The sequence below is a fragment of the Homo sapiens genome, chromosome 22, assembly GCF_000001405.40.
Source record: "Homo sapiens chromosome 22, GRCh38.p14 Primary Assembly".
Classification (NCBI taxonomy): Eukaryota; Metazoa; Chordata; class Mammalia; order Primates; family Hominidae; genus Homo; species Homo sapiens.
In genome coordinates, this window is record NC_000022.11 from 46,267,905 (window position 1) to 46,294,265 (window position 26,361).

The following is a 26,361-nucleotide window of genomic DNA, read 5'->3' on the forward strand; positions in this document are numbered from 1 at the left end:
AGTCTGTCCGAAACCCACCAGTGAGCGAGCGGGAGAGCGCGGCCGCCCCGCCCCGCCCCTTTCCGCGACCGCCCCGCCCACTCCCAGGAAGGCCCGGGTGCCCAGAGCTCGCGGTGGACTCCGACCCGGCGCAACATGGCCGCAGCCTCGCCTCTGCGCGACTGCCAGGTACACGGAGGCTGCCCCCAACCAGGTCCCCCTCGGGCCCCGGGTCCTGGGGGTGGCCCGGTGCTGGCGGAATAACGGGAGACATGGCCCGGGCGCGGGGCGTGGGGTGAGCCCTGGGCGCACGGGCGCGTCCGCGGCAACGCCTGGAAGGGACCCGAGGCCCTTCTTGTAGAGTCCCCACCGAGGGAAATAAGGGACGCCTGTCAGGGTACTCGGGAGACCCCAAGACCTCCTAAAAAACGTAGCTCACTGGGCATGGCTGGGGACGCAGGGAAGCCCGCAAAGGTAAGGGGCTCCTTGGAACCGGCCCAGGACTGGGAGCCTGAGCCCATTTTACAGATGAGGAAGGTGGAGGTCAGAGGGGCCAGGAGACGTGTGTGTGTTGAAGTTTGAAGGGCTCCTGGAGAGAAGGCACTGCTATTCCCTTCTTGCCGTCTGTAGGCCTGGAAGGATGCGAGGCTCCCGCTCTCCACCACAAGCAACGAAGCCTGCAAGCTGTTCGATGCCACGCTGACCCAGGTATGCCTGCCGAGAGAGGCCGCGGCCCCTTCTGTGGAGGTCTAGGGGAAGGTTTTTTAATTGGGGAAAGCTGTTTTTTTGTTTTGTTTTGTTTTGTTTTGTTTTGTTTTTGAGGCGGAGTCTCGCTCTGTCGCCCAGGCTGGAGTGCAGTGGCGCTATTTCGGCTCACTGCAAGCTTTGCCTCCCGGGTTCACGCCATTCTCGTCCCTCAGCCTCCCGAGTAGCTGGGACTACAGGCGCCCGCCACTGCCCTCGACTAATTTTTTTTGTATTTTTTAGTAGAGACGGGGTTTCACCGTGTTAGCCAGGATGGTCTCGATCTCCTGACCTCGTGATCCGCCCGCCTCGGCCTCCCAAAGTGCTGGGATTACAGGCGTGAGCCACCGCGCCCGGCCATGGGGAAAGCTTTTTAAATTGCGCCATGACCTTAGCAATAGATGGCAGCACATCTGTGCACTTTGTACTGGAGGACGTGGGAGGGTGGGGACATATCTCTGCCCCCCCCCCACAGCGTCCTAAAAGGGCCTCTGCACTCTCCCTTCTTCCCCAGGACTCTGAGTGGTGGGTGGACAGCGGTGGGTGCAGTGGGGATGTTTTTTGAGGATGCTGGCCTCCCCGGGCCTCCCATTGTGGCCTGCTGAGGGTCTGATGCAGGGCTCGGCTGCTTAGGACGTGGGATCCTGTCCTGGGATGAATCTGTGAGTATACTGCCTTCACCTAGGCTGTGCCAAGACCTTCTGCCACATTACCAGTCATTTCTCTACCAATGAAGGGTCCTATAGTTTTAGAACTAGGAGAAGTCTCAGAAGTAAGATCCAACTAGCTTCCTTGACAAGTGGGGAAACTGAGGCTCAGAGTTGAACCTACTTGACTTGAAGGTTGTCCATGAATTACAGGCAGAACCAGGATGAACCTGGGCCTAACTGCACTGATAGAAACCTAAGCTGACCTTGGCGTGGGTGGTGAGGCCCCTGCATACTGACTTCATCCACATAACAGGAGGACTCAGGTAGCTCTTAGAAGCCTACGGGCTGAACAAGAGAGGACTGATGGAATGCTGTGAGCTGCGCCATGGGTGCCTCTCCTGTTCCCAGCCTGCCCTGCCAAGGGACTCTGCTGTGGGCATCTGAGTTGTTTGTTTATTTTGTGTTTGACCTGGCTCACTTGCCCTTCCTGTATCTCGCCGGCCTCTGTAGAGTACTCGATTTGTTTTTTGTTTGAGACGGAGTCTTGCCCTGTCACCCAGGCTGGAGTGCAATGGCGCAGTCTTGACTCACTGCAAACTCTGCCTCTCGGGTTCAAGCGATTGCCCTGCCTCAGCCTCCGAAGTAGCTGGGATTATAGGCACGCACCATCATACCCAGCTGATTTTTTGTATCTTTAGTAGAGACGGGGTTTCACCATGTTGGTCAGGATGGTCACAAACTCCTGACCTTGTGATTCCCCTGCCTTGGCCTCTCAAAGTGCTGGGATTACAGGCGTGAGCCACTGTGCCCGGCCCCTAGTACTCAGTTTGTTACACACCACATCCCCAATCAGTGGCAGCTCATCCTCCCAGCCTGGGTATATTTTGTCCCGTGTATTGGTGTCTCTGTGCTGTCCTGTGTTAGAACTTGGCTTCTTTAAATCTCTGTGCCAACCCTCCTGTATCTTGTCAAAATGCTTGCGTAGCTTATAGTCTCAGCTATTTGGGAGGCTGAGGCAGGGGGATTGCTTGAGCCTGGGCGGTTGAGACTGAAGTGAGCTGTGATTGTGCCACTGTACTCCATCCTGGGCAACAGAGCAAACCCTGTCTTAAAAAAAAAATACACGTACTAATTCTGTGTAGATGTAGGTTAGACAGCTGAAAGGGCATATTTTAAAATCTAATGTGTGATTATAGGTCTAGGACTTTTTTTAAAACAGGCATTTGAGTAAAGGACCAGGTACAAATACAGCAAATTGTTAAAAATGATGATGCGCTGGGCGCGGTGACTCACGCCTGTAATCCCAGCACTTTGGGAGGCTGAGGCAGGTGGATCATCTGAGGTCAGGAGTTCAACACCAGCCTGGCCAACATGGTGAAACCCTGTCTCTACTAAAAATATAAAAAAATTAGCCGGGCATGGTGGCATGGGCCTGTAATCCCAGCTACTCGGGAGGCTGAGGCAGAGGAATTCTTGAACCAGGGAGGTGGAGGTTGTAGTGAGCTGAGATAGTGCCACTGCCTTCCAGCCTGGGTGACAGGGCAAGACTCCATCTCAAAAAAGAAAAAAAAAAAATTAGCCGGGCGCAGTGGTGCACACCTGTAATCCCAGCTACTAAGGAGGGATTCTCCTACCAAGGCAGGAGAATTGCTTGAAACCTGGAGGCAGAGGTTGCAGTGAGCCAAGATCGTGCCATTGCACTCCAGCCTGGGTGACAGGGCAAGATTCTGTCTCAATTAAAAAAAAAATGATAAAATGAGCTTTGGGTAAGTTTTATCTTTCAGCTTTTGTGTCTTTCTAACTCTCTAAAATAAATGTTTTCTGTGAATATTTTTAAAACGAATGAATAAGAAGCAGGAATATTCCTATCGTGACCAACTTCAGGGCTCCTCTTAGGGCAGAAGAAGCCGATGTGGAGCAGGTCACCTGTCAGGAGGAACCTGCCTTTTCTTTCTTTTCTTTTTTCTTTTTTTTCTTTTTTGAGACAGAGTCTCACTCTGTCGCCCAGGCTGGAGTGCAGTGGCGCCTGGGTTCACGCCATTCTCCTGCCTCAGCCTCCCGAGTAGCTGGGATTACAGGCGCCCACCACCACACCCGGCTGATTTTTTGTATCTTTAGTAGAGACGGGGGTTTCACCGTGTTAGCCAGGATGGTCTCGATCTCCTGACCTCATGATCCGCCCACCTCGGCCTCCCAAAGTGCTGGGCTTACAGGCATGAGCCACCACACCTGGCCTTTTTTTTTCCTTTTCTCTGTCACCCAGGCTGGGGTGCAGTGGCACGATCTCAGCTCACTGCAACCTCTACCTCCCAGGTTCAGGCGATTCTCCTGTCTCAGCCACCCAAGTCTCAGCCGCCCAAGTTGCTAGGACTACAGACATGTGCCACCACGCCTGACTAATTTTTGTATTATTTGTAGAGACAGAGTTTTGCCATGTTGGCCAGGCTGGTCTCAAACTCCTGCCCTCAAGTGATCCACCCGCCTCAGTCTTCCAAAGTACTGGGATTACAGGCGTGAGCCATCGCGCCCAGCCAGAACCTGCCTTTTGATGTTTCTTTTTTGGAAATGCAGCATCCCTAGCCCTAGAAAGTGTGCCTTGGGTGATGTGTATTTCATTTCTTCGTATGAAGAAAGTTATCAGCCAGGTTATGCCTTCTTTGGGTTAGAGTCCAGAAAATACTCAGTGTTCTACAAAGAAAAACAAATCTGGATTTATTTTTATTTTTTGTTTTTTGAGACAGTCTCTCTCTGCCATCCAGGCTGGAGTGCAGTGGCACAATCTTGGCTCATTGCAACCTCAGCCCCCGGGTTCAAGTGATTCTCATGCCTCTGCCTACCAAGTGGCTGGGACTACAGGCATGCACCACCACGCCCCACTAATTTTTCTATTTTTAGTAGAGATGGGGTTTTACCGTGTTGGTCAGGCTGGTCTCGAACTCCTGACCTCAGATGTTCTGCCCGCCTCGGCCTCCCAAAGTGTAAACCTGGATTTAGAGCCACCTTTGTTAGAATGATCCAAGGGCTCCGTGAGGACTTGTTTTGCTTTTCCCATTTCAGTATGTAAAATGGACCAATGACAAGAGTCTCGGTGGCATCGAGGGCTGCCTGTCAAAGCTCAAAGCAGCAGATCCAACCTTTGGTGAGTAACGCCTTCCCTGGGTGGAGGAGCCCCGCTTCACACATCCAGCCCCTCTCTTTCCTTTACCACAGGGACACAGTTGGGATGGGGAAGGCAGGTTGGGTGGCAGCAACCAGGGTGGCATTTGCACAGAGGGAGAGAAGATGACAGCTGCCTTTGTGTCTGGAAAAACAGTCACTCCCATAAAGATGCCAGGTTCTATCAGAAGGCATTTTTCTCATCTTTTCTTTAATTACCATCAATTCGGGAATGAAGATGCTGATCTCATTTCTCAGATGAGGAAACTGAGGGTTGGCAAGAGTAAGACTGTACTTAAAGCCACCCAGCTGGTGGTTGACCCCTGGGATTAGATAAAGCTTCCTGAATCCAAGGCCCAGACCCCTGGAACATGAGAGGTGGCTGCTGCAGCCTCCGTCAGGGGACCAGTGAGGCCTCATCCAGAGTGGCCAGGGTGAGGTGGTGACAGAGGCTGGCATCCAGGCAAGCCATGTGTACAGCGGGCATGGGGAAGCCAGCACAGTGCATTGCAGGTGGGTGGTCCCGTGGTGCGGCAAGGTTCCGGGCCTGGGAGAAGGTCTGATGAGGGGACAGGGCTCTTGTCAGTGCGGCAGGGACACCCTTCTCACCCTGCTGCAGCCTAGTCAGACTTAAGGCAGGGGACTTGTACTGCCCTGGAGAAGACAAACAAGGAAATAACTGGGGGAGAACGGGGGAGCCAAACCCAGTCATGGGGAGCCAGGAGCCAGGGGTGGGCTCGGACTCTCTGAGCAGACCTTGAGCCCTGATCAGGGGGCTTCGACCACCTGAATCATCAGCTGGGCTGGGCTGGGCTCGACCATCGGAATCACCAGCTGTTTTCCAGGGTCCACATGGGTGGTCCTAGCACACTATGGTTGGGTCCTGGGTCCCAGGCCTGAGCCAGTGACCAAGTTCCAAATGCCAGTGGACACCCTGGCTCTCCCACAGTGGGGCCTGGGGGCCTGCACTCCTGCCAGCAAGGCTGCTGCGAGGGCCACAAGGCACTCACCCCCACCCTAACTTTTAGCATGTGTGAGCAGCACAGATGGGATCATGACTTCTGTGCTCCGGGGCCTCCTTGGTCCAGCCCCTTATGAGCAGCATCCACTGATGCCTCCCGGGAGCCGTGTGCTGGCTGTGGCGGTAGTGTCAGCTGATGAGCCTGCAGGCAGCCTCTAAGTGGCTCATCCATTGAAGGGGGAAGGTGCTTTAGACACTGGCACTCAGCAGAATGCCCTCACTAGAAAAATGTTCAAGGGTGCCTTTAGGCTTGCAGTTCCCTCCATGCTTGACAAGAGCCGAGGCTGAGTTCTAGACAGTAGGCAGGGCCACAGTGCCCAGCCTGCTGCTGCCTGGCTGGCCCCTCCTGGGACGTGGGGTGTCTCTGTGACATGTGGAGTCTGGGCTGGGATGGGCTGAGCTGGACCATCTGAACCACCAGCCGTTCTCTAACCTCCCACCAGTGATGGGCCACGCCATGGCTACTGGCCTTGTGCTGATTGGCACTGGAAGCTCCGTGAAGCTGGACAAAGAGCTGGACCTGGCTGTGAAGACAATGGTGGAGATTTCAAGAACCCAGCCGCTGACAAGGCGGGAGCAGCTGCACGTGTCTGCAGTAGAGACATTTGCCAATGGGTGAGGGGCCTCCCTGGGCTGGGAGCTGGCACCCTGAGGCTGAGCTGGGGGAGTGGCAGGGTATCCCTTTCCTGATGCCCTTGGGACGGGGGCGGGGTGGGAGAATGCTTCTCTCCCTGCCTCCTGAGATGCTCTGATGGAAAATCGCATCCTGTCTGCTTCCCTATTCTTGGTGGAGTGCTGAGTGAGGAAGCAGTTGGTGAAGATTCCCAACTTAGTGTCCAAAGTAACTTGCTTTGTTTCATTAAGTAAATTATATATTATTTTCCTTACAAAAATAATAGGGTCACACTACAGAAATTACTAGGTTAGGGAAGAGAGAAGAAAACATGCTTCTTCTAGTGAGAAATAAACAATCAAATCAAATCTTCACCCATAAGTTCCTTGCTCTTGCACTGACTTTCACATCATCCCCCCGCTGTTCCTATGCTGGTTCCCTCATTCTCCGGGACAGCCCCCATGTCTGCTCAGGCAGGCGAGATGCCCTGCAGAGTTAGGCGACCCTAGCCGATTGTGCAGGGACTCAGGGATTCCGAACCCTGAGACTGGGGAGGTGCGGCCTGGTCTTCCTGGTAAGTCAGCCCAGGTGTGGGTTCCACCTCAGAGACTTCCTGTGGCTGTCTCACGGTCTCCACTGGGATTATCTTTGGCAATTTGTTAAACCAGTTTTTTTTTTTTTTTAAATTGAACTAAAGAGTAAAAGTTCCCACTGGGTTTTCAGTTTGTTTTCTGATTCACAACCTAACATAGAAAGTGATTTTTTTACATTTATTTATTTAGAGTTTTGCTCTTGTCGCCCAGGCTGGAATGCAGTGGCGCAATCTCGGCTCACTGCCTCCACCTCCCGGGTTCAAGTGATTCTCCTGCCTCAGCCTCCCGGGTAGCTGGGATTACAGGCACATATCACCACACCCTGCTCATTTTTGTATTTTTAGTAGAGATGGGGTTTCACCATCTTGGCCAGGCTGGTCTTGAACTCCTGACCTCGTGATCCACCTGCCTTGGTCTCCCAAAGTGCTGGGATTACAGGCATAAGCCACCGCACCCAGTCAGAAACTGATTTTTAAAAAAACACATCCATGTAGACCATGACACTGGTGAGAAACAATGCCTCTTACACTCCCTGTGTGGGTGGACTATGTGTTCAGCGTTGGTGAGAAATCTTTCTCGGTTTCCAGGAACTTTCCGAAAGCCTGTGAACTATGGGAACAGATTCTCCAGGACCACCCGACAGACATGTTGGCCCTGAAATTTTCCCATGATGCTTATTTTTACCTGGGCTATCAGGAACAGATGAGAGATTCTGTTGCTCGAATTTACCCCTTCTGGACACCTGACATCCCCCTAAGCAGGTATGTGCCAGCTGGAAATCACATTATTTCTGTTTCTTAATCTCTCTTTTCTGCCCTAAAAATATGGTGACTCTCTTGGCCCTGTCCTAAAAATAATGGGACCACTGTTGCTATTCTCCTAGTTCCTTAAAGTTCAAAGGCCTCATTTTCTTCACTTGATTTTCATCCCACCTGTGAATGAGGTAGTACCATTATGTATCAGTCAGCATGGGATTGTTTTTGCTGCAGTAATAAACATCCCCTGGTTCTTCTTCCCCAAAGCTTATTACAGCAAAGGTTTATTTTTCACTCATACTACGTGGCTACCTTAGAAGGGCTGAGGGCTCTGCCACCATGTCCTTGTCTCCATCTGGGATCCCAGCTGATGAAGCAACTGCCCTCTGGACATACCTGTCACTAAGAGGGAAAAGCAAGCTTTCCTTGGGGGGCTTACAATGGCAATTAAAGGTTTAGAATGAAAGGATACCCTGCCACTCCCAAGTCATTGGCCAGAACTGATCACATGACCTCACCCACCCACAAGAGACCAGGAAGTACAGTTCTACCGTGTGCTTGGGAAGAGAAGAAGGCCTGGAATGTGCATGAACAGCCCCAGTGACCACCACACAGGACTGACTTCACTGCAGCTTCATTACAGAATAGTTGTGAGGTTCGGACAGGTTAATAAGCTGTATTATTTAGTCAGCACTCTCCAGAGAAGCCCAGAGAGCTCTGAGACAGAGAGAGAGATGGAGATTTATTTTAAGGAATTGGCTCATGTGAGTGTGAGGGCTGGCAAGTTCAAAATCTGTAGGGCAGGGCAGCAAGCTGGAAATCGCTGCAGGAGTCAGCATTAGTCTTACATCTGGAGGCAGTCTGCAGGCAGAATTTCTTCTTCTAGGGGCCTCCGTCTTTCTCTTAAGGCCTTTAACTGATTGGATGAGGCCCACCCACATGGAGGGTAATCTGCTTTACTCAAATCGCATCTAGAAATACCTTCACGAGACTGGGCACAGTGGCTTATGCCTGTAATCCCAGCTGTTTGGGAAGCTGAGGCGGTAGGATTGCTTGAGCCCAGGAGTTTGAGATAAGCTTGGTCAACATGGCAAGACTCTGTCTCTACAAAAAGAAAAAATAAATTAAAAAAGTTAGCCAGGCATGGTGGCATGTGCCTGTAGTTCCGGCTACTCAGGAGGCTGTGGCGGGAGGTTCCCTTGAGCCCAGGAGTTTGAGGCTGCAGTGAGCTGGCGATCATGCCACTGCACTCAGCCTGGGCAGCAGAGCAAGACTCTGTATCTAAAAGAATATATATATTAAAAATATATATATTAAAAAAATATATATAAAATACATATATTAAAAATATATATTAAATATATATTAAAATATATATTAAAAATTATATATTAAAATATATATATTAAATATATATATATATATAAACATATATATATATAAAAAATACTTTCACCGCAACACCTAGACTGGTGTTTCGCCAAACAGCTGAGCACCACGGGCCAGCCAAATTGACAGATAAAAATTAACCGTCATGAAACCTAATAGTACCTGACACACAGCAAACATACAATAAATAGCTTAAGTGTTGAGGATTAAATGACCCCAGTAAACAATACATATATATACATACACACACACACACACACACACACACACACACACACACATACATTTTAAAGATAACTCTGGAAGCCAGTGCTTAAGAACATTGCTTCAATGAATAACAAAAGCTAGAATCAGTCTTCTTGCAAAGTAATGAAGCTAACATCTTAGTCTCAAACAGAAGCCCTATTGCCCTATTTTGTTTTCACTTAACCCCGAGAAACCACAGGAAAGAAAACTTGTTTCATGTGTGACCACCCTAGATACTCGGGTGCGCAGTTGCAGATGAGATTGGAAGTGTGGGCGGGACGCAATGGCTCATGCCTGGAATCCCAGCACTTTGGGAGGCCGAGGCGGGTGGATCACCTGAGGTCAGGAGTTTGAGGCCAGCCTGGCCAACATGGTGAAACCCCGTCTCTACTAAAAATACCAAAATTAGCTGGGCGAGGTGGCATGTGCCTGTAATCCCAGCTACTCAGGAGACTGAGGAAGGAGAATTGCTTGAACTCAGGAGGCGGAGGTTGCAGTGAGCTGAGATTGTGCCACTGCACTCCAGCCTGGGCAACAGAGCGAGACTCTGTCTCCAAAAAAAAAAAAAAAAAAAAAAAAGAGAGAGATTGGAAGCGTGCAATTATTCAGCAGTGTCTTCTAGCCCATCCTGGGCTGGGCCTGGGCTGAGGCTGAGTTGGACAGACAGGTCCCAGCCTGTGGGAGCTCCAGGTCTGGGGAGGACCCGGCCATTCACTGAGTGCATTCCAGGCCGGGCAGGGGACTGTGTACAGCACTGCAGAAGTCAAGGAGGAGCTGTTGACAGCCCACAGGTCACGGAGGCTTCCCAGGGAGGTGCCCCTGGGTCATGCCTCTGGGTGGATGTCACCATGCAGACAGGAGCGGGAGGAGACCCTTGTTACTCTCAGTGGAGACCCGTGTTGATTCTTAGAAGGTGGGATGCTAATTGAGGAGCAGGGCCGCTCTCCGTGCTGGGCTTGGGGATGATTGTGCGGATGTAATGTTCACCTTGCCCCTCACCAGTCAGAAGCATGGAATTGCTGACAAGCACAGAGCTTGGCGTGGGGTTGGAGGTTGCATCAGTCTCCTGCGGTTGCTGTAGCGAAGGGCTGCAAACTGGGTGGTTTGGAGCAGCAGACAGGTACTCACAGCTTTGAGGGCCAAGAGTCCCATCTAAGGTGTCAGCAAGGGCAGTGCCCTCAGAGCCTCAGGGGTGGGTCCTTCCTGCCTCTTCCAATTTCTGGTGGTGCCCAGAGTTCCTTGAAGTCCCTTGGCTCGCAGCTGTATCACTCTGCCTTGGTCTTTACCTGCCGCCTTCCCTCGGCATCTGTGTCTTCACACGGCCCTCTTGTAAGGACACCAGTCATTGCGTTAGGGCCCACCCTAATCCCGTATGACCTCCTCTAAACTTATTACCTCTGCAAAGACCCTATTTCCAAAAAAGGTCACATTCCCAGTGCTGGCAGTTAGGACCTCAGTGTATCTTTGCGGGGACACAGTTCAACCTGCTACCCATCCATCATTTTGTATTCTGAGATCTTTTTTTCTGTTTTTAGCTATGTGAAAGGCATCTACTCTTTTGGCTTGATGGAAACCAACTTCTACGACCAGGCAGAAAAACTCGCCAAAGAGGTAAGTGGGTCCTTCCTAAGGTGCCTGACCCCTCAGGGAGTAGCCGTTGGCTGGACCAGGGCATATGAGGGGCACCATTCGTGTGTGACCCCGGCGAACCCCATCCCTGGTCTCACTTCCTCAGAGAGACTGGGGAGCTCATGTTAGTGTGAGCAGCTGCCGCCCGCCAGGGGCTGTCATTCACCTGTGGCCCCCCCAAAGTCCCCAGAGCCACGTTCCTTGGCTAACACTGGATCCACGTCTACAGATGAGGTTGATGGGGTACGGGGAGCCTGTGGTCAGCCTGCTCACTTAGGGTTGCACAGAATGGCAGGTCTGGGCTCCCACCAGCTCTGCCTGGCTCCGGAGCCCACACTGCCCTGCTGGGACAGGACTTTGTAGGAGGAGAAGTGTAAATAAGCGTTGGCTCTTCCTTCCTGAACTTCGCATTTCTAAGCATCACTCACGGCACCAGAGGTTCAGGGAGCTGAGTGATGATCGCCAGTCATGATCATTGCTGGGTGCCCATGTGTACCTGGGCCCAGGGCTGGGTGGCAGGCTGCAGCTGTCAGGCCTGGGGCGCGAATGGTCTCACGCTCTGGGGGTCCCTCTCCTCTACTCCTCTTCTTGCAGGAGTGGAAACTGAGGCCCATGGAGGGGCTGCCATGCACAAGGGAGTGACAGCTGCTCCTGTGCCCGGCTCTGTGTGGCACTTCATGTGTGTCTGCTTGCATCCACACAGCTCTGCCCACGTGATGTCCAACTCCTTGTTGCCCAGATGAGGGGCCCAAGGCTCAGAGGCCAAGGCTAGAGCCTGCCTAAGACCACATGGCTCAGAGATGGCAGAGCCGGATTCTACCCAGGCTACCTGGCAATGGCTGTCCTTTCAGCTGCCTGCTCCAGGCCCTGCCTCCCAACATCCTGGCTGGGGTTCTTCCCCCAGTAGTTGCCCTAGTCGGCCTGCAGCATCCTCTCTGGGAGACAGCATTGGGGCCCAAGGGTCGCTGCGCTCTCTGAAGACTGCTCTGATTACAGAATCCGAGACTTGAGGCTTGAGTGATGTGTTCTTTGCTTTAACTCTGAGTCAGGGCAGGTGGGGGACCCGAGTGGCTTTCTGACAGTCTTGGTTCCATGGCCTGGGTGACCAGACAGCACCATCCAGGGGTCAGCTGTAGGAAAGTCCCTTGGAGACCATGGTAGCTGGGCCCTCCTGTGGGTGGCATCCATCTGGGCACCTGAGAGCTCCTGGGACATTTGGAGAAGCTCTGGACAAGGGTAGCTGTGGCAAACCAGATGTGGCAAGTCCCCCGCACTGAGGGTGGCCAAAAAAACATGCAAGCCCATGCCTTGCAAGGAGCAAGAAGTGGTGGATAGGGTCCCCTCCCTTCTCCATTGCTCCCCTTTCGCCTCCTGTCCCTTGTGTTGCAGGCACCAACTCTTTGTCTTCAACACCAGCACCCCACAGACAACTACTGGGCAGGAAAAGCAGGCTGTGATGGGGCCAGGAGTGGTAACACATGGGCTCTGTGTCTGCAGCCCCAGGCTGGTGAGGGTAGGAGGAGCCAGGGCAGGAGCAGGCAGGCGGCAGGCACAGGCACAGCCACAGAGCTTGGGGACCTGGAGCTCCATCCAAGTGGCTCAATGGGTGGAGGCTTAGGGAGGAGGCGGCAAGCCAGGGCTCCAGGAGCCAGGGCTGTAGAGGGGCAGGTGAGGACTGGATTCTGCTGGGCCTTGTAGCCTGGGAATGCAGTTTGGACTCCTTCCCACGGAACCATGGGAGGGCTCCAAGAGAGGGAAGATGCCAGTCAGCTCATCAGAGCTGGTGACAGCCACCACCCTTCACTCCTGCCATTCGTGAAAGCAGCATGCTTAGCAGGGTCCCGTCTCGGGGCCCCACGCCCGCCCTGCTTAGACTGTGCCCAAGTGTCCTGTACTCAGAGCCCCTGCCCAGGGGTGCCCACGGTCCCCTACAGACACACTTTCTTTCCCTCTGTTCCCACATGGAGTGGGCTGGGCCCACAAAAGCTGAGTGGTGGGCAGGGAGGCAGGGCTTGCTGGGGCCGACCTCCTGCCAAAAGCCTCACAGGAGGTGCTGGGCCAGGGCAGAAGAGCTTGGGGCTTCTGGACCCCTATGAAAGGCGTGGGGAGACTGAGGCAGTGGGGCTGGCGGGAACTCATGATTTGGCATGGGGGACCTGGGCACAGGCCAGGCAATGGGGCTTCTGTGAGCCTCAGTTTACTGCTCCATTTTCTAAGCTCTGACTGTGGCTGAGTAGATGCTTAGCAAACATGAGCTGAACACATAAATAGAAGAAAGAAACGGCTAGGAGGGGAGGATCATTCCATGAGTCCTGCCTGCCTCGCTGGTCGCTGTCAAGCTCACAGGTCATGGGAGCGGCTGTTGTCATGAACTGTGATAACCTCAGAGCCAGCTGTTTCTGCACCCAGAAAGCCACGTGTCCTCACATATATGGTAGTGGGAAGAGGCAGTCACAGCCACTGGAGGACTTGATAGTTCACACCACGTTCACATGGGCAGTAACCACTTCTCTAAGAGAAAGGCAGCATCCGTGGCCTTCCAGGCAGGCGGCAGCTGAGGCCCAGAGAGGGCGGGTATGTTTTGCAAGCACCTCAGCTGTATGCAGAATGCTGTGGGCTTGGGTCTGAGCCCTGGCTTTAGAAAGATCCTGCTGCTGTCCAGCTGGGTGAAGTCGCATAGCCTCCCTAAGACTCAGCTTCCTCATCTGTGAACTGGGCAGTGAGACCCATGAGCTGGTGTGCCCGGGCAGGCAGGAAGTGGTGCTAATTGTCAGTGTTTTGAGTCAGAGCCCCGCCCCCCCACTTGCTCCACCCCGTTCAGCCCAGGCCCCTCTTGCCCCTTAGAGACCTGCCGTCGCCTGCCCCGGCAGCCTGACTGATCTGCTTTATCTGGAATCCTCTTCCCCGCACCCTGCGTAGGCTTTATCTATTAACCCGACAGACGCATGGTCGGTGCACACCGTCGCTCACATCCACGAGATGAAAGCAGAGATCAAGGATGGGTTGGAATTCATGCAGCACTCAGAGACCTTCTGGAAGGTATGATGCTTGTCAATGGGTCACCTCCCTGGGAAATTCAGTGCATCCCCTTGAGTCAGGCCAAGGCTTTATGGACAAGAGTTACAGGGCATGGCTTAATTCTCGGGGTTCCCTCTCCTCCTCCACCTGCACCTGCCTCAGGTGTTTGGCTGCTGAGCAGAATGCAATCAAGATTCCAGTCCCCACCCCAGGCCCATACCTTGCCCTAGGGACTCCACTGAGGGTCCAGCCCAGACTTCTCTGTCCTTACAGGGCCTGGTCAGGAGGAGCGAGCAGCCTCTTCAAAGCACATGAGCTGCACCATGACGGGGACCCTCTGTGGGATGTGGAAACGCAGAGGAAGCATTAAACTCAACTGGGCTTGGGGGGACAGTGGCTAGGGAAGGCATCCTGGAGGGGGCAACCTCTGAGTTGGCTACTGAAGGATGAGCAGGTGTGTGCCACACAGAGGGGGAAGATGGAGGGCATCCTAGCCCGTCACTAGCTTGAGCAAGGCCTCCAAGGCCTACAGTGGCCTGTGAGGGAGAGGAGAGCTGCTTACTTTGGTGTCCTAGAGCCCAGGTACAAGGCGGACATGGGCTGTGCAGGAGGCCTTGTCAGTCCCTCTTTCCAGGGGAGGCAAGGTGGTGTCCAGGCAGAGGCAGAAACGCCTGCAGAGGCCTCAGGGAAGGAAAGGCTAGCACCATGGTGGAGGTGGGCCCTCTGGACAGACGGGGCTGCATCAGGTGAGCCTATTGGGCTCAAGGGAGATGGGGCCTCCCCTGGGACAGGGACACAGCGTCGCTCACTCAGCGTTTACTGAATACCTGCTTTGTATTTGGGGCAGCAAGAAATCAGGGAAGGGTGTGCACTTGGCTCCCAAGCAGGGGCCATGCAGTCTGAGCCTTGCTGCGGAGGATCCTCGGGCCTCCAGATTCGGCTCTGTCAAGGGGGCAGTGGTCAGGTTCCCTTCTCAGGGACACTGAGGTTTGTTTGAGGTTTCTGAGTGCTGGGCACTCTAGCTTGTTGAGGATCACGAGTCCAGTCTCCTGAGCTTGGAAATACCCTAGCAGGGGCCAGCTCTGAGCCCAGCACAGGTCCTACTTTAACACTGCTTCATACTGAGGGCAGCCTAAGGTAGCCACCCACATACCACCCACTCCCCTGGCTCTCGGGGCTTTGCCAGCACCTGTTGGAGTGTGGCCCTGGGCCTGTTGATCTCTGCAGGTTTTTGTTTTTGTTTTTTTTTGAGACAAGTTCTCTCTCTGTCGCCCAAGGTGGAGTGCAGTGGCACAATCAGGGCTCACCGCAGCCTCGACCGCCTGGGCTCAAGCGATCCTTCCACCTCGGCCTCCCAAATAGCAGGGACTACTGGTGCGTGCCACCACACCTGGCTAATTAAAAAAATTTTTTTTTTTTAGAGAGACAGGGTCTCTTCCCTATGTTGCCCAGGTGGGTCTTGGACTCTTGGGCTCAGTTGATCCTTCTGCCTCGGCCTCCCAAAGTACTGGGATTACAGGCATGAGCCACTGTGCCCGGCTGATCCTTGCAGTTTTATCCAAGTGCCCTGAGCTGTTTAGGCACCCATGGGCCTCGCACCTCCCTGTGGAGTGGTTCTGTTAATCCTTTTCTCAACTTCACATGTGAGGAAGGCAAAGCTGGAGTTGCTGAAGTAACTTCCTCTGCACCGGTCCTGGGGCTGCTGCTCCCCAGCTCAGGCGAGTAGGTTGGGAACCTCCCCTAGCCTCAGTTTCCTCCTTGGTAAATGCAGCATAATTTCTTCACCGCCCTTCGGAATGGAAGAAGATTATGTGGCCTGGAGGCACCTAGTGCAGAATATTGTTTCCTGCACTCAAAGATGATGGTTTCTGTGGCTAGGCGCGGTGGCTCATGCCTGTAATCCCAGCACTTTGGGAGGCTGAGGCGGGCGGATCACCTGAGGTCAGAAGTTCGAGACCACCCTGGCCAACATGGTGAAACCCTGTCTCTACCAAAGATACAAAAATTAGCCGGGTGTGGTGGTGCACACTTGTAATCCCAGCTACTCAGGAGACTGAGGCAGGAGAATTGCTTGAACCCGGGAGGCAGAGGTTGCAGTGAGCCAAGATCGTGTCACTACACTCCAGCCTGAGCAACAGAGCCAGACTTAGTCTCAAAAAAAAAAAAAAAAAAAAAAAAAAAGATGATGGTTTCTGCATTAGCACAAAACAACATTTGTTTTTTTCCCATAGGCCTTCAGACTTTTCATAAATTCTCTTTTTTTTTTTTTCTCCAGGACTCTGATATGTTGGCTTGTCATAACTATTGGCACTGGGCTTTATATCTGATTGAGAAGGTAAGGTGACCATCTGTTTGCACTGTCTTATCCTATAAAGATGTCTAGAGGGAGAAAGATTTTTCTAGCTTTTGCTATGTATTCACATCCGTTGGAGCCCTGATGCAATGGAGCATTAACATTTCCAAAGAGCACTCTAGGCTTCAACCTTTTTAGGGATTTTTTCACTGTGGAGGCCTGGAAATCACATCTGTGGTGTATAACTTGCAGAGACCATTCAGAGCGAGTGCCTGTGGCTGGAGTGGAGAGCCAAGCCCCAACTCCGCAGGGTGTACCTGCCTGGGCCATGAGATCTTCCAACGGGAGCCAGGCTATGGGGCAGCTGCTCAGGACACCCTTGACCCCAGTGATTCCGCCACAGGGTTCCATGTACAAGACTGTCACTTGCAGTGCTCCTTATCGTGCACAAAAGCTAGAAGCTCCCTGAATGTCCATAAAGTGAGAAATGCTGAGAACATGAGGGCCTTGTCATGACATGAGAATGTGATGATACAGTGTCTGGAAGACAGCACAGAACCCAGCTAAATGTACAGGAGAGGAAACATATGCAGAAAAGAAAAAGGCAGCTGGGCACAGTGGCTCATGCCTGTAATCCCAGCACTTTGAGAGGCCAAGGCAGGCAAATAACTTGAGGTCAAGAGTTTGAGAGCAGCCTGGGCAACATGGTAAAACCCCATCTCTACTAAAAATACAAAAATTAGCCGGGCATGGTGGCGCCTCCCTGTAGTCCTGAGCCTGAGGCATGAGAATCGCTTGAACCTGGGACGCGGAGGTTACAGTGAGCCGAGATTGTGCCACTGCACTCCAGCCTGGGTGACAGAGTGAGACCCCATCTCAAAAAAAAAAAAAAAAAAAAAAGAAAAAGGCTAGAAAGAAATACATGAAAAAGCTTGCAGCAGTTAGTATGAGCAATACCTATATTAACTTTCCACTAGGAGAGAGAATGCTTCCACAGCAACTGTTTCTTCAGTGGTGGCGGCACAGGTGCTGCTGTGCTTTCTACACTGGGGAACCAAAGCCCCGGTTGGAAGCGGGTTCACCTTCTCCCATCCCGAATGCCACCAAGACACCGTCCGTCCACCTCTGAGAGGAGGTGGAGGCCGGAGACCATGTGCTCAGGGGTCTTTGGCCTGGCCGTTCTCAGTTCACGTGCCAGCATTACACTTTGCCTTCTCCAGGGTTTAATAAGGAGAACTTTATTCTTCCAGGGCGAATATGAGGCCGCGCTGACCATCTACGATACCCACGTAAGTTGCATTCACACCGTGTTTGGTTTGTTGCAGCATTTTGCCTTTGAGTCTCAAAGAGACCAGATTTTTGAGTTCATCAGGATTGTCCCAGCCAGAAAAACAGCTGGAGCAAGAACACATTTCTTGTGTAAGGCCTCATGGGGTTAATTTTGCCAAGAGCAATGTTGTAACCCTGCCTATGATGGGGACAGTGGTTGGCCCTGCTCAACTCGAGGGTGCTGATAGATTTACACATCTAAGGGCCTCACCTCTGCAATTGTGGACTCTCCTCCAGCCCTTTCAGATCACTTTTCTTTGGTAAGACAACTGGTCTACCCATAGGAATTTTTTTTTTTTTTGAGACAGAGTTTCGCTCTTGTTGCCCAGGCTGGAGTGCAATGGTGCGATTGGCTGGAATTTTTTTTCTTTGCTGTGATAAAATAAAAATAACATAAAATTACGTGTACAAGGCCGGGTGTGGTGGCTCACACCTGTAATCCCAGTAATTTGGGAGTCCGAGGCAGGTGGATCATTTGAGGTCAGGAGTTCAAGACCAGCCTGGCCAACATGGTGAAACGCTGTCTCTACTAAAAATACAAAAAAATTAGCTAGGCGTGGTGGTGGGCACCTGTAATCCCAGCTACTCGGGGGGCTGAGGCACGAGAATCACTTGAACCCAGGAGGCAGAGGTTACAGTGAGCCAAGATCACGCTACTGCACTCCAGCCTGGGTGACAGAGTGAGACTCTGTCTCAAAAAAAAAAAAAAAAAGTGTATAGCTCTGTGGCATTAAGTGCATTCACATTTTGCAACCATCACCACCCTCCATTTTCAGAACATTCTTCATCTACCCAAACTGAAACCCTATACCCATTAAACACTAACTCCCCATTCCTCCTCCCCAGGCCCAGGCATTCTTTTGAGAGGGGGAAAAAAAAAAGCCTGAAGCCTGACTCACAGCTCCCAAGGACCCCAGGGATGGCTTCATCAGAAAAGCCTGGGACCACAGAAATGCTTGTGATCTGGGGATCTAAACATCAGAGAAAAACACACAGTAAATTTCCCTTGAAGTAATCCTTTCTACACGGTCAGGAAGCTGTAGTAAGAAATGAAGGGTGGGCCGGGCACGGTGGCTCACACATGTAATCCCAGCATTTTGGGATGCTGAGACAGGTAGATCACCTGAGGTCAGGAGTTCGAGACCAACCTGGCCAACGTGGTGAAATCCCATCTCTACTAAAAATACAAAAACTAGCTGCATGTGGTGGTGGGCACCTGTAATCCCAGCTACTTAGGAGGCTGAGGCAGGATAATTGCTTGAACCCAGGAGGCGGAGGTTGCAGTTAGCCAAGCTTGCGCCATTTGCACTCCAGCCTGGGCGACAGAGGGAGACCCTATCTCAAAAAAAAAAAAAAAAGAAAGAAAGAAATGAAGGGTGACATACACCGTGAGCTCGAGGTGGGCTCCTCAGCAAAGCTGAGTCTAGAAACGTGATCGGGCAGACAGCCCTCCCACCAGTGTGGTCTGAGGCCCAGGGGTGGGAGGTGGCAGATGCTTTGGGCCTGGCCTGGGCCCTGGGTATGCAATGCAGTGGGCTCTTTCTTCAGGTCTACCTGGTGACCCCTCTAGTGCTTGGAGCAGTCTACACCCCAGGCAAGGGTGATGGGCCTGTCAGTTGAGGTGATGGGGACAGTGGCAGAGGGCTTGCTCTATGCAGGCCCCACCCCACCTGGACAGGCTGACCCTGGCTGTGCCTGCAGCCCCATCATCTGGGCCACCCGCTGAGCCCGCCTTGGCCGCCCTGTCTTCCAGATCCTTCCCAGCCTGCAGGCCAACGATGCAATGCTGGACGTGGTGGACAGCTGCTCCATGCTCTACCGCCTGCAGATGGAAGGTAGCCATCCCTGCAGCCCCACTGGCTTCTGCCTCTTCCTCCCACATCATGAGGAGAGGGTGCTGTGGCCTAGGCCCAGGGTTGGGCAAGAGCTCATGGGTGAGCCGCTCCAGACCCCTCTGCAGGCCTGGCCACTGCCTTGGGTACCGTTCTGCAGCTGCCTCCCAGCTGGCCCAAAGCTGGAGAGGGTGTCCAGGCCACACTACTCTTTCTTCCAGTTCCCACCGCTCCTCGATGTGGACGCCTCCAGCTCTGCACCCAGGGCGGCACCTGCTGTGCTGTTCCCATGGCTGGCCTGCCTGCCAAACCTTCGGGGCACTGGTAGCACCTGGCCACCTGTCTCGATGCCACCTCCTTTCCTAAAACATGAGAGAGTTTCTCAACTCCCTGGGATTGTAGACAGGTTTCTCAACCTTGTCATGCTCTGCAGGTAGCCTGGAGGGACCAACCACAGCTCTGGGGGCTCTTGAGGGCTCTAGCCAACCACTGGGGTGCCAGATGGTTCTCCCCTTGTCTCAGGCTCAGCAGAGTCACCCTGGAACCACAGAGGCCTGGGCTAGGCCCTGGGTCAGCAGTACGATGAGGGCTGAGCAATTCAGGGACCTGAGGGAGGGCATGGCAGGCTGTTTCTAGAGATTCAGAAGGCTTCCTAGTGGAGGTGAAATGTGAGCTACTGAAGCATATGTGGGGCTTGCTGGGCAGAGACAAGGGAAAGAGTTACTCTCAGAGAAAGCAGACCATCCAAAGCTACCGGGACATAGAAGCCAGCAGCCTGCTGCGGGACAAGGGGCTGGAGGGCAGGCTTGATGTGGTCAGATGGGCCAACAGCAGGCTGAGGGGCACAGGAGCCAGGGAGCCCACCTGTGGGAAGGGCAGGCTGAGGCTGGAGACCCAGAGAAAAGTGGGGAGCCTGGGGGATCCTTGGGGAGGTCGGGGGATCCATTGGGAAGCCAAGGGTTGTGTGGGAAGGCCGGGGGATCCAAGAGGCCTAGGGTTTGTCAAAGCGGCCAGAGGCTTTGTTTAATAACCTTTGACACTTTTTAAAATGTGCTTCCTACTTACGCGTCTATGGCCTCTATAATTAGACAGTCCTGATAGAGGCCTAAGCACAAGGCCAGACGCTGCCCGTGGCCCTGCCCACCTCCCCGGCCTCTCACCTGGGACAGGGTCATCAAGGCCTCCAAGGGAAGCGCCGTGAGGGAGGCCCTTGCACGGGACATGCCCCAGAGCCTCACTCCAGGCCCTGGGTCTCCTCCCCATGTCCTCAGGAGTGTCTGTGGGCCAGCGGTGGCAGGATGTCCTGCCTGTGGCCCGGAAGCACAGCCGAGACCACATCCTGCTGTTCAATGACGCACACTTCCTGATGGCATCCCTGGGTGCACACGACCCCCAGACCACACAGGAGCTGCTGACCACCCTGCGGGACGCCAGCGAGTATGCAGAGGGGCCTTCTCGGGGTGGGGGTCCTCACCCTGCCGAGAGGGTGAGGGGGTGCTAGGGCCATGCTGAGACCTGTTCAGTGCCTGCCCCGCCTGTGAGTGCAGCAGGGGGGATGCCCATGGAGGCAGCTCCCAGGTGTGCACCCCTATAGATGTGCATCCCCTGGTGCAGACCCCCAAGGTGTGTACACCCACAGCTGTACAACTGGTTGCCCCAAGACACAGAGCTGCCTCCATCCCCAGGGTGGGTATGAGATCCGCAGGGTCACAGGGCTGCCTCCCGTGGAGAGGACACAGTGAAGCCCTGAAGCCAGAGACACCTGCTGCTTACAGGCCCTGAGGTCCTGGACGAGGTGCTTCTGTGCTCTGAACCTCAGTTTCCCCATCTAAATCAGGGCGATGCCTGGCAAGAGCTGGTGAGGGCTGACCTGGAGGACCTGGGCTGCCCTGCCCATTCCCTTCCGGGGGTGATGATTGCCTTGGCTTGCAGTGCCAGGCCTTTGCCTGTATTATCAGCAATCCTGACGGTTCTGTTAGATTGGCACTGTTATGCCTGCTTACAGATGAGCAAACTGAGGCTGGAAGGTGGGGGACCAGGTAGCTGGAAGTGGGCGAACTCCAACCCAGCTCTGAGCTCAGTACCCTGTCCTGTCCCCTCGATGGGCTGCCCCGCCTGTCACCTCACCTCATCAGTGTGGCATGTGTCAGGCACTGGACCAGGGACACCTCGCTGAGGAAGAAATGGCTCTGCCCTTCCCGGATGTTCTGTGATGGGCAGGCAGCTGAGGGCACCGTCTTGGGTTCGCAGATCCCCAGGGGAGAACTGCCAGCACCTCCTGGCCCGAGACGTGGGGCTGCCCCTGTGCCAGGCCCTGGTGGAGGCTGAGGACGGGAACCCTGACCGCGTCCTGGAGCTGCTCCTGCCCATCCGCTACCGGATCGTCCAGCTCGGTGGGAGCAATGCCCAGGTGAGCCGATGGCCGCCAGCTGGGGTGCCTAGGGCCTGGGCCAGGGAGTCTGGGCGCCCCGCAGCCCCCAAGTTTCTCCCATGGTGTTGGTGCCAACAATGTGGGTGTGAACGTGTCTCTCACACTCCCGCCGTGTAAGTTCGTCGTTGAGGGTGTGGCATCAACACCACTGTCTCCCTGGAGAGCAGGCAGCCCGCGGTGGGCGGGGGCTCGCCTCCCCCATCCTGAGGTACAGGAGACTCACATGCCCGATTGACATTTCAGAGAGACGTCTTCAACCAGCTGCTGATTCACGCGGCCTTAAACTGCACCTCCAGCGTCCATAAGAACGTAGCCCGGTGAGCTCCTGGCCCCTGCCCAGCACTCCCGACCTTCACAGGCTCTCCCTGCAGACCTCAGGAGTGCCTGGAAGCCCCACCACCCTTGGCCCGAGATGCTCCTGCTTCTGAGGCTGTGAGGTCGGGAGGCTGTGGGGAATTTGGTTCTCCTTTGTTAGCAGGCTCAGTGTGACCAAGTGGAGCCAGCCCCACCCCAGGCCCAACCTCCCACCCTTCCCAGCCCACTCCCTTTTAGCCTTGCTAAGCTACCTGGGTACGTAAACACGTCCTGCTCTTTCAGGCTCCTGGGCCTTTGCACGCTTGGAACACCCTTTCTCCTTTTTTGCACCTGGCCGACACCTAATGCTCAGTTAGACCTCAGCTCATTTCACCTGCCTGCCTGTGCTGGGTACCGAGAGGGAGCAGTGAGCAGGCACACCAGTCACTGGCTACCAGGAGCCCATCTGTAGTCGGGGGAGCGACAGGGAGCAATCAGTCCCACAGACACGTAAACTCGCACTGAGGGAGCAGCAGCTGAGGGCAGACCCGAAACCACAGTGGGTTTAGCCAGGCCAGGCATGGGGCTGGTAGGAGGGTGGCGTGGCTGGAGGGTGAGTGTTAGGGTGGCATGGCTGGAGGGTGAGTGTGTTAGGGCAGCGTGGCTGGAGGGTGTTAGGAGGGTGGTGTGGCTGGAGGGTGAGTGTTAGGAGGGTGGCGTGGCTGGAGGGTGAGTGTTAGGAGGGTGGCGTGGCTGGAAGGTGTGTTAGGGTGGCGTGGCTGGAGGGTGAGTGTTAGGAGGGTGGTGTGGCTGGCAGGCGAGTGTCAGGAGGGTGGCATAGCTGGCAGATGAGAGTGCTGGGGGAACTCCAAAGAGCCCTCACCATTGCCAGCAGCCTTGGTGCTTCCATGGCCCAGCTTGCCTCCCTCCACTTAGGCTGCTGAGCTCTTGGCCAGCAGCTGCGTAGCCCGTGTGCCTGAGCGGCGAGTTTGACACCTCTCCTTGCCCATGTCCCTGCCACCCTCAGACATAAGTGAAAGGAAGAATAGAGGAGTCATGGGGTGCCTGGTGGGGAAGGTGTGCTGTGAGAGCAGGTGGCAGCCCGGGTCCACAGGAGGCCCTTGGCTGGTGACAAGCCCAGTGGTTTAGGCGCAGGTGCACCAGCGCAGCTCCCTCCAGGCAGGGTTACCCAAACTGAGCTGTACAGGTTCTGTGGTACTCATGAAACAGGTCTGGCTGGCAGCACTGGAACCGCCTAGAACTGTAAAATGTCTTGGACGCATGCTCCCCGCTTTCCCCTTCCATGGCTGTAGACAAAACCATGCGTGTTTCTTTGGTGGTCAAGCCCCCTGGGGAGCTCAGGCTGTGGTGTGGGTGGGAGTTGGTGCCTCTGGCAGCAGCGGTGGGGAAAGTGGCTGTGTGGACAGGAGGGCTGAGGATGGAGCTGGGGTGACATCTGTGGGGCAGTGCGGCAGTGCCGATGTGGCCTTCTGCGGGGCCCAGTGGGGGAGGGCAGGGGGAGAGCAGGCTGCACAGGGAGCCGACTGCATTAGGAGACGTGGAGGGGGCCTTCTCTCCAAGTCCTGTCCTGCTACCAGGCAGCATCCATGGGGCCATCAGCACAGCTCACCAGCCCCCAAGGTGGGAAACCTTCCACCCACAGCCATGGTGCCCCCCACAATGAGTTCCCGGCCCCAGCCCCTTCACACCACCCACGCCCTCTAGAACCACTGTTTTCAGGTGTTTGGGGGCTGTCTTAGTCAGTTTGGGTTGTTATTTTAAAAGTGCCACAGACAGGCCGGGCACGGTGGCTCATGCCTGTAATCCCAGCACTTTCGGAGGCCAAGGCGGGTGGATCACCTGAGGTCAGGAGTTCAAGACCAGCCTGGCTAATATGGTGAAACTCCGCCTCTACTAAAAATACAAAAAATTAGCCGGGCGTGGTGGTGGGTACCTGTAATCCCGGCTAGTCGGGAGCCTGAGGCAGGAGAATCGCTTGAACCTGGGAGGTGGAGGTTGCAGTGAGCCGAGATCGCGTCATTGCACTCCAGCCTGAGTGACCGAGGGAGATTCTATCTCAAAAAATTAAAAAATAAAAGTGCCACAGTCTGGGCGGCTTGCACAGTAGGCATGCACTGTCTCACAGTTCTGGAGGCTGGAATGTCCAGGAACAAGGCCTGGCTGGGTTCAGTTTCTGCTGAGGCCTCTCTTCCTGGCTTGTGGACAGCCACTTTCTTGCTGTGTCCTCACATGACCTTTCCTTTGAGTGCTAATTCTTTCACGTCTCTTCTTTCTTCTTTCTTTTTAAATTTTTTTATATTTTTAGAGGCAAGGTCTCACTCGGTCATCCAGGTTGGAATGCAGTGGTGTGATCACAGTTCACTGTAAACTCAAACTCCTGGGCTCAAGGAATCTTCCTGCCTCATCCTTCCATCGTGCAGGGATTACAGGGGTGAGCCACCACACCTATCTCTTCTTATAAGGGCACTAATCCCATTCACAAGGGCCCCACCCTCATGACTTAATCACCTCCAAGAGGCCCTGTTCTTAATACCATCACCTTGGGCATTTGGGCTTCAACATATACATTTAGCCTGGACACAGACATTCAGTCCACAGCAGGGTCTTTACCTCAAACCGTACCTGGGTCTTCTCTCTTCAAACCTGGGTTTTCCCCACTGCCACCTGTTGTGCCCCATCTCGGGTGTGGCTTCCTGCACTGGAGGTCTGTGCCCTCCCATCCTCACCTCTCCCCAAACTGAGGCCAGGCCTCCTGCCCCTGGGCCTTGGCCCTTGCTGTTCCCTCAGTGCCGCAGTCTAGCCTGCCTGTGTTCTGCCTTGGGACCAAGGGACCACCAGGCCCCACATCCCTCTAGAAGGTTCTGTAACAGGACCTCTGTGTCTGTTTCCACAGGAGCCTTCTGATGGAGCGTGATGCCTTGAAGCCCAACTCGCCCCTGACCGAGCGGCTCATCCGCAAGGCAGCTACCGTCCACCTCATGCAGTGAGCCAGCCTGGCCGCCTCCACCCTGCAGAACCTCAGTGGTGGCGTCACTGCGTCCAGTCAGCTGCTCCACCGGGTTAGGGTCAGGAGACGGCCAGAGCCTGTTTGTTAGGGCTGTTAGAGGGTGATCTTCAGTTTTACAGGAAGTGGGTCACGGGTTAATTTTAAATGTGATTCCGAATCTCCTTTCAGTCCTCGAGAAGGGCCAATGAGCATTTTTCAGCAGTCACAGCCAGTGTGAGTGCTGCTCTTTCCACCTGCCTTGCAAATTCTGTTTCCCAGGGGAATGTGTCTACTGCCTGGTGGTTCAAAGGTTGGAAGGCAGGGCAGAGGTGGGGGCTGATTCTGCTGGGACAGGTCTTCCAGAGGCAGCCTCCCCCCACTGCCTGTCCCCGTCCCCACCAGGCTGCCCTTGGGATGGACCTTTTCATTCTTTTCTTTATATTCTAGACAGTCTCTGTTGTCTCATTGTGTTGCTGTCCCATTTTTCAGGTGAGGGTACCGGGGTAGGGGAGTGGCCTGCCCAGGGTCACACTATGAGAGGCCCCCACCTGCTGCCTTTGGACGCAGCCCCCTGCTGCTGCATCCACCACCCTTCTTACAGATCAGCGCGCACATGGGGTCCTTCTGCTGTCTCTGGGGCGAGTCTTGGAGCCCCCTGGGGGGCTCTGTTGGTGCTGATTTGGACCCGTTTCTCTTTTTAAACTGCACATCATAACAGGGCTTCATGTCGAGCATGATTTTAATCATAAATGCACTTCTGAGGTGCAAGGATTGAGCTCAGAGCTGCTCTGTTGTGGCAAAACCCAAAGTGCTGTGATGTGTGGCTGTGACAAGCCTGGAGCGGGTCCTGTGAGCGCCGCCTCTGTCTCCTGCTTCCCCACTGAACGCCTGCTGAATGTGCCGCTGACTCAGCTGTGCTGCTTTCAGCCCTCCTGTGAGGGGCGGTCCCAGTGCACAGATGTTTTTCAAGTTCCTCAGTTTGTACTGAAATTAGGGATTCATCAGGGCAGGAAGCAGGCAGGCCTCTCAGAAGGGAGAGGAGGCCTCCAAATCTATTGAGTCCCCACAGTTTGCTCAAGCCCAGGCAAATTTCTGTGATTAAAATGAATTCATCAGTTCCTCCAAGTCTTTGAGCATCTGTGGTGCAGGCCTGGGGCTGGGTCCTGGGGAGATGGCTTCTCCTTGAACTTAAGGTAGGTGGGGCAGGCCAGGCGCAGTGGCTCACGCCTGTAATCCCACCACTTTGGGAGGCTGAGGTGGGTGGATCCCCTGATGTCAGGAGTTCGAGATCAGCCTGGCCAACATGGTGAAACCCTGTGTCTACTGAAAATACAAAAATTAGCTGAGCATGGTGGCACACGTCTGTAATCCCAGCTACTCGG

The 26,361-nt window shown here is 54.2% G+C and overlaps 1 protein-coding gene across 5 annotated transcripts, besides 2 other annotated features; it reads left to right on the plus strand.

Annotated features, from left to right (window-relative positions):
* Positions 1–160: a silencer, noted in NCBI's record as "silent region_13907". NCBI's record gives its function as "represses an Ori minimal core promoter by ATAC-STARR-seq in GM12878 lymphoblastoid cells {active_cell/tissue: GM12878}" and the evidence as "EXISTENCE:reporter gene assay evidence [ECO:0000049][PMID:35858748]".
* On the plus strand, positions 104–26,104 carry TTC38 (tetratricopeptide repeat domain 38). 5 transcript variants are annotated; one of them, NM_017931.4, is made up of 14 exons: positions 104–168; positions 610–687; positions 4,431–4,512; positions 5,994–6,165; positions 7,344–7,517; positions 10,682–10,757; positions 13,695–13,814; positions 16,069–16,128; positions 17,337–17,375; positions 19,169–19,250; positions 20,519–20,684; positions 21,498–21,657; positions 21,922–21,995; positions 24,887–26,104. In NM_017931.4, the coding sequence occupies exons 1-14, from the start codon at positions 136–138 to the stop codon at positions 24,978–24,980; spliced, it is 1,410 nt and encodes a 469-aa protein (NP_060401.3). In that variant the 5' UTR covers positions 104–135; the 3' UTR covers positions 24,981–26,104. The 5 variants fall into 5 exon arrangements, with proteins under 5 accessions (NP_060401.3, XP_047297395.1, XP_047297396.1 ...); XM_047441438.1 differs by lacking the exon at positions 104–168 and adding an exon at positions 1,238–1,385 and having other exon boundaries at positions 620–687; XM_047441439.1 differs by lacking the exons at positions 19,169–19,250; positions 20,519–20,684; positions 21,498–21,657; positions 21,922–21,995; positions 24,887–26,104 and adding an exon at positions 18,262–18,410.
* Positions 171–380: a silencer, noted in NCBI's record as "silent region_13908". NCBI's record gives its function as "represses an Ori minimal core promoter by ATAC-STARR-seq in GM12878 lymphoblastoid cells {active_cell/tissue: GM12878}" and the evidence as "EXISTENCE:reporter gene assay evidence [ECO:0000049][PMID:35858748]".
* Positions 26,105–26,361: the final 257 nt, after the last annotated feature.

Coding starts and splice junctions, on each gene's coding strand:
- TTC38 (NM_017931.4), top strand. CDS start 136: ATGGCCGCAGCCTCGCCTCTGCGCGACTGCCAG. Junction 6,166..7,343: donor GTAGAGACATTTGCCAATGG/GTGAGGGGCCTC, acceptor CTCGGTTTCCAG/GAACTTTCCGAAAGCCTGTG. Junction 17,376..19,168: donor TGACCATCTACGATACCCAC/GTAAGTTGCATT, acceptor CCTGTCTTCCAG/ATCCTTCCCAGCCTGCAGGC.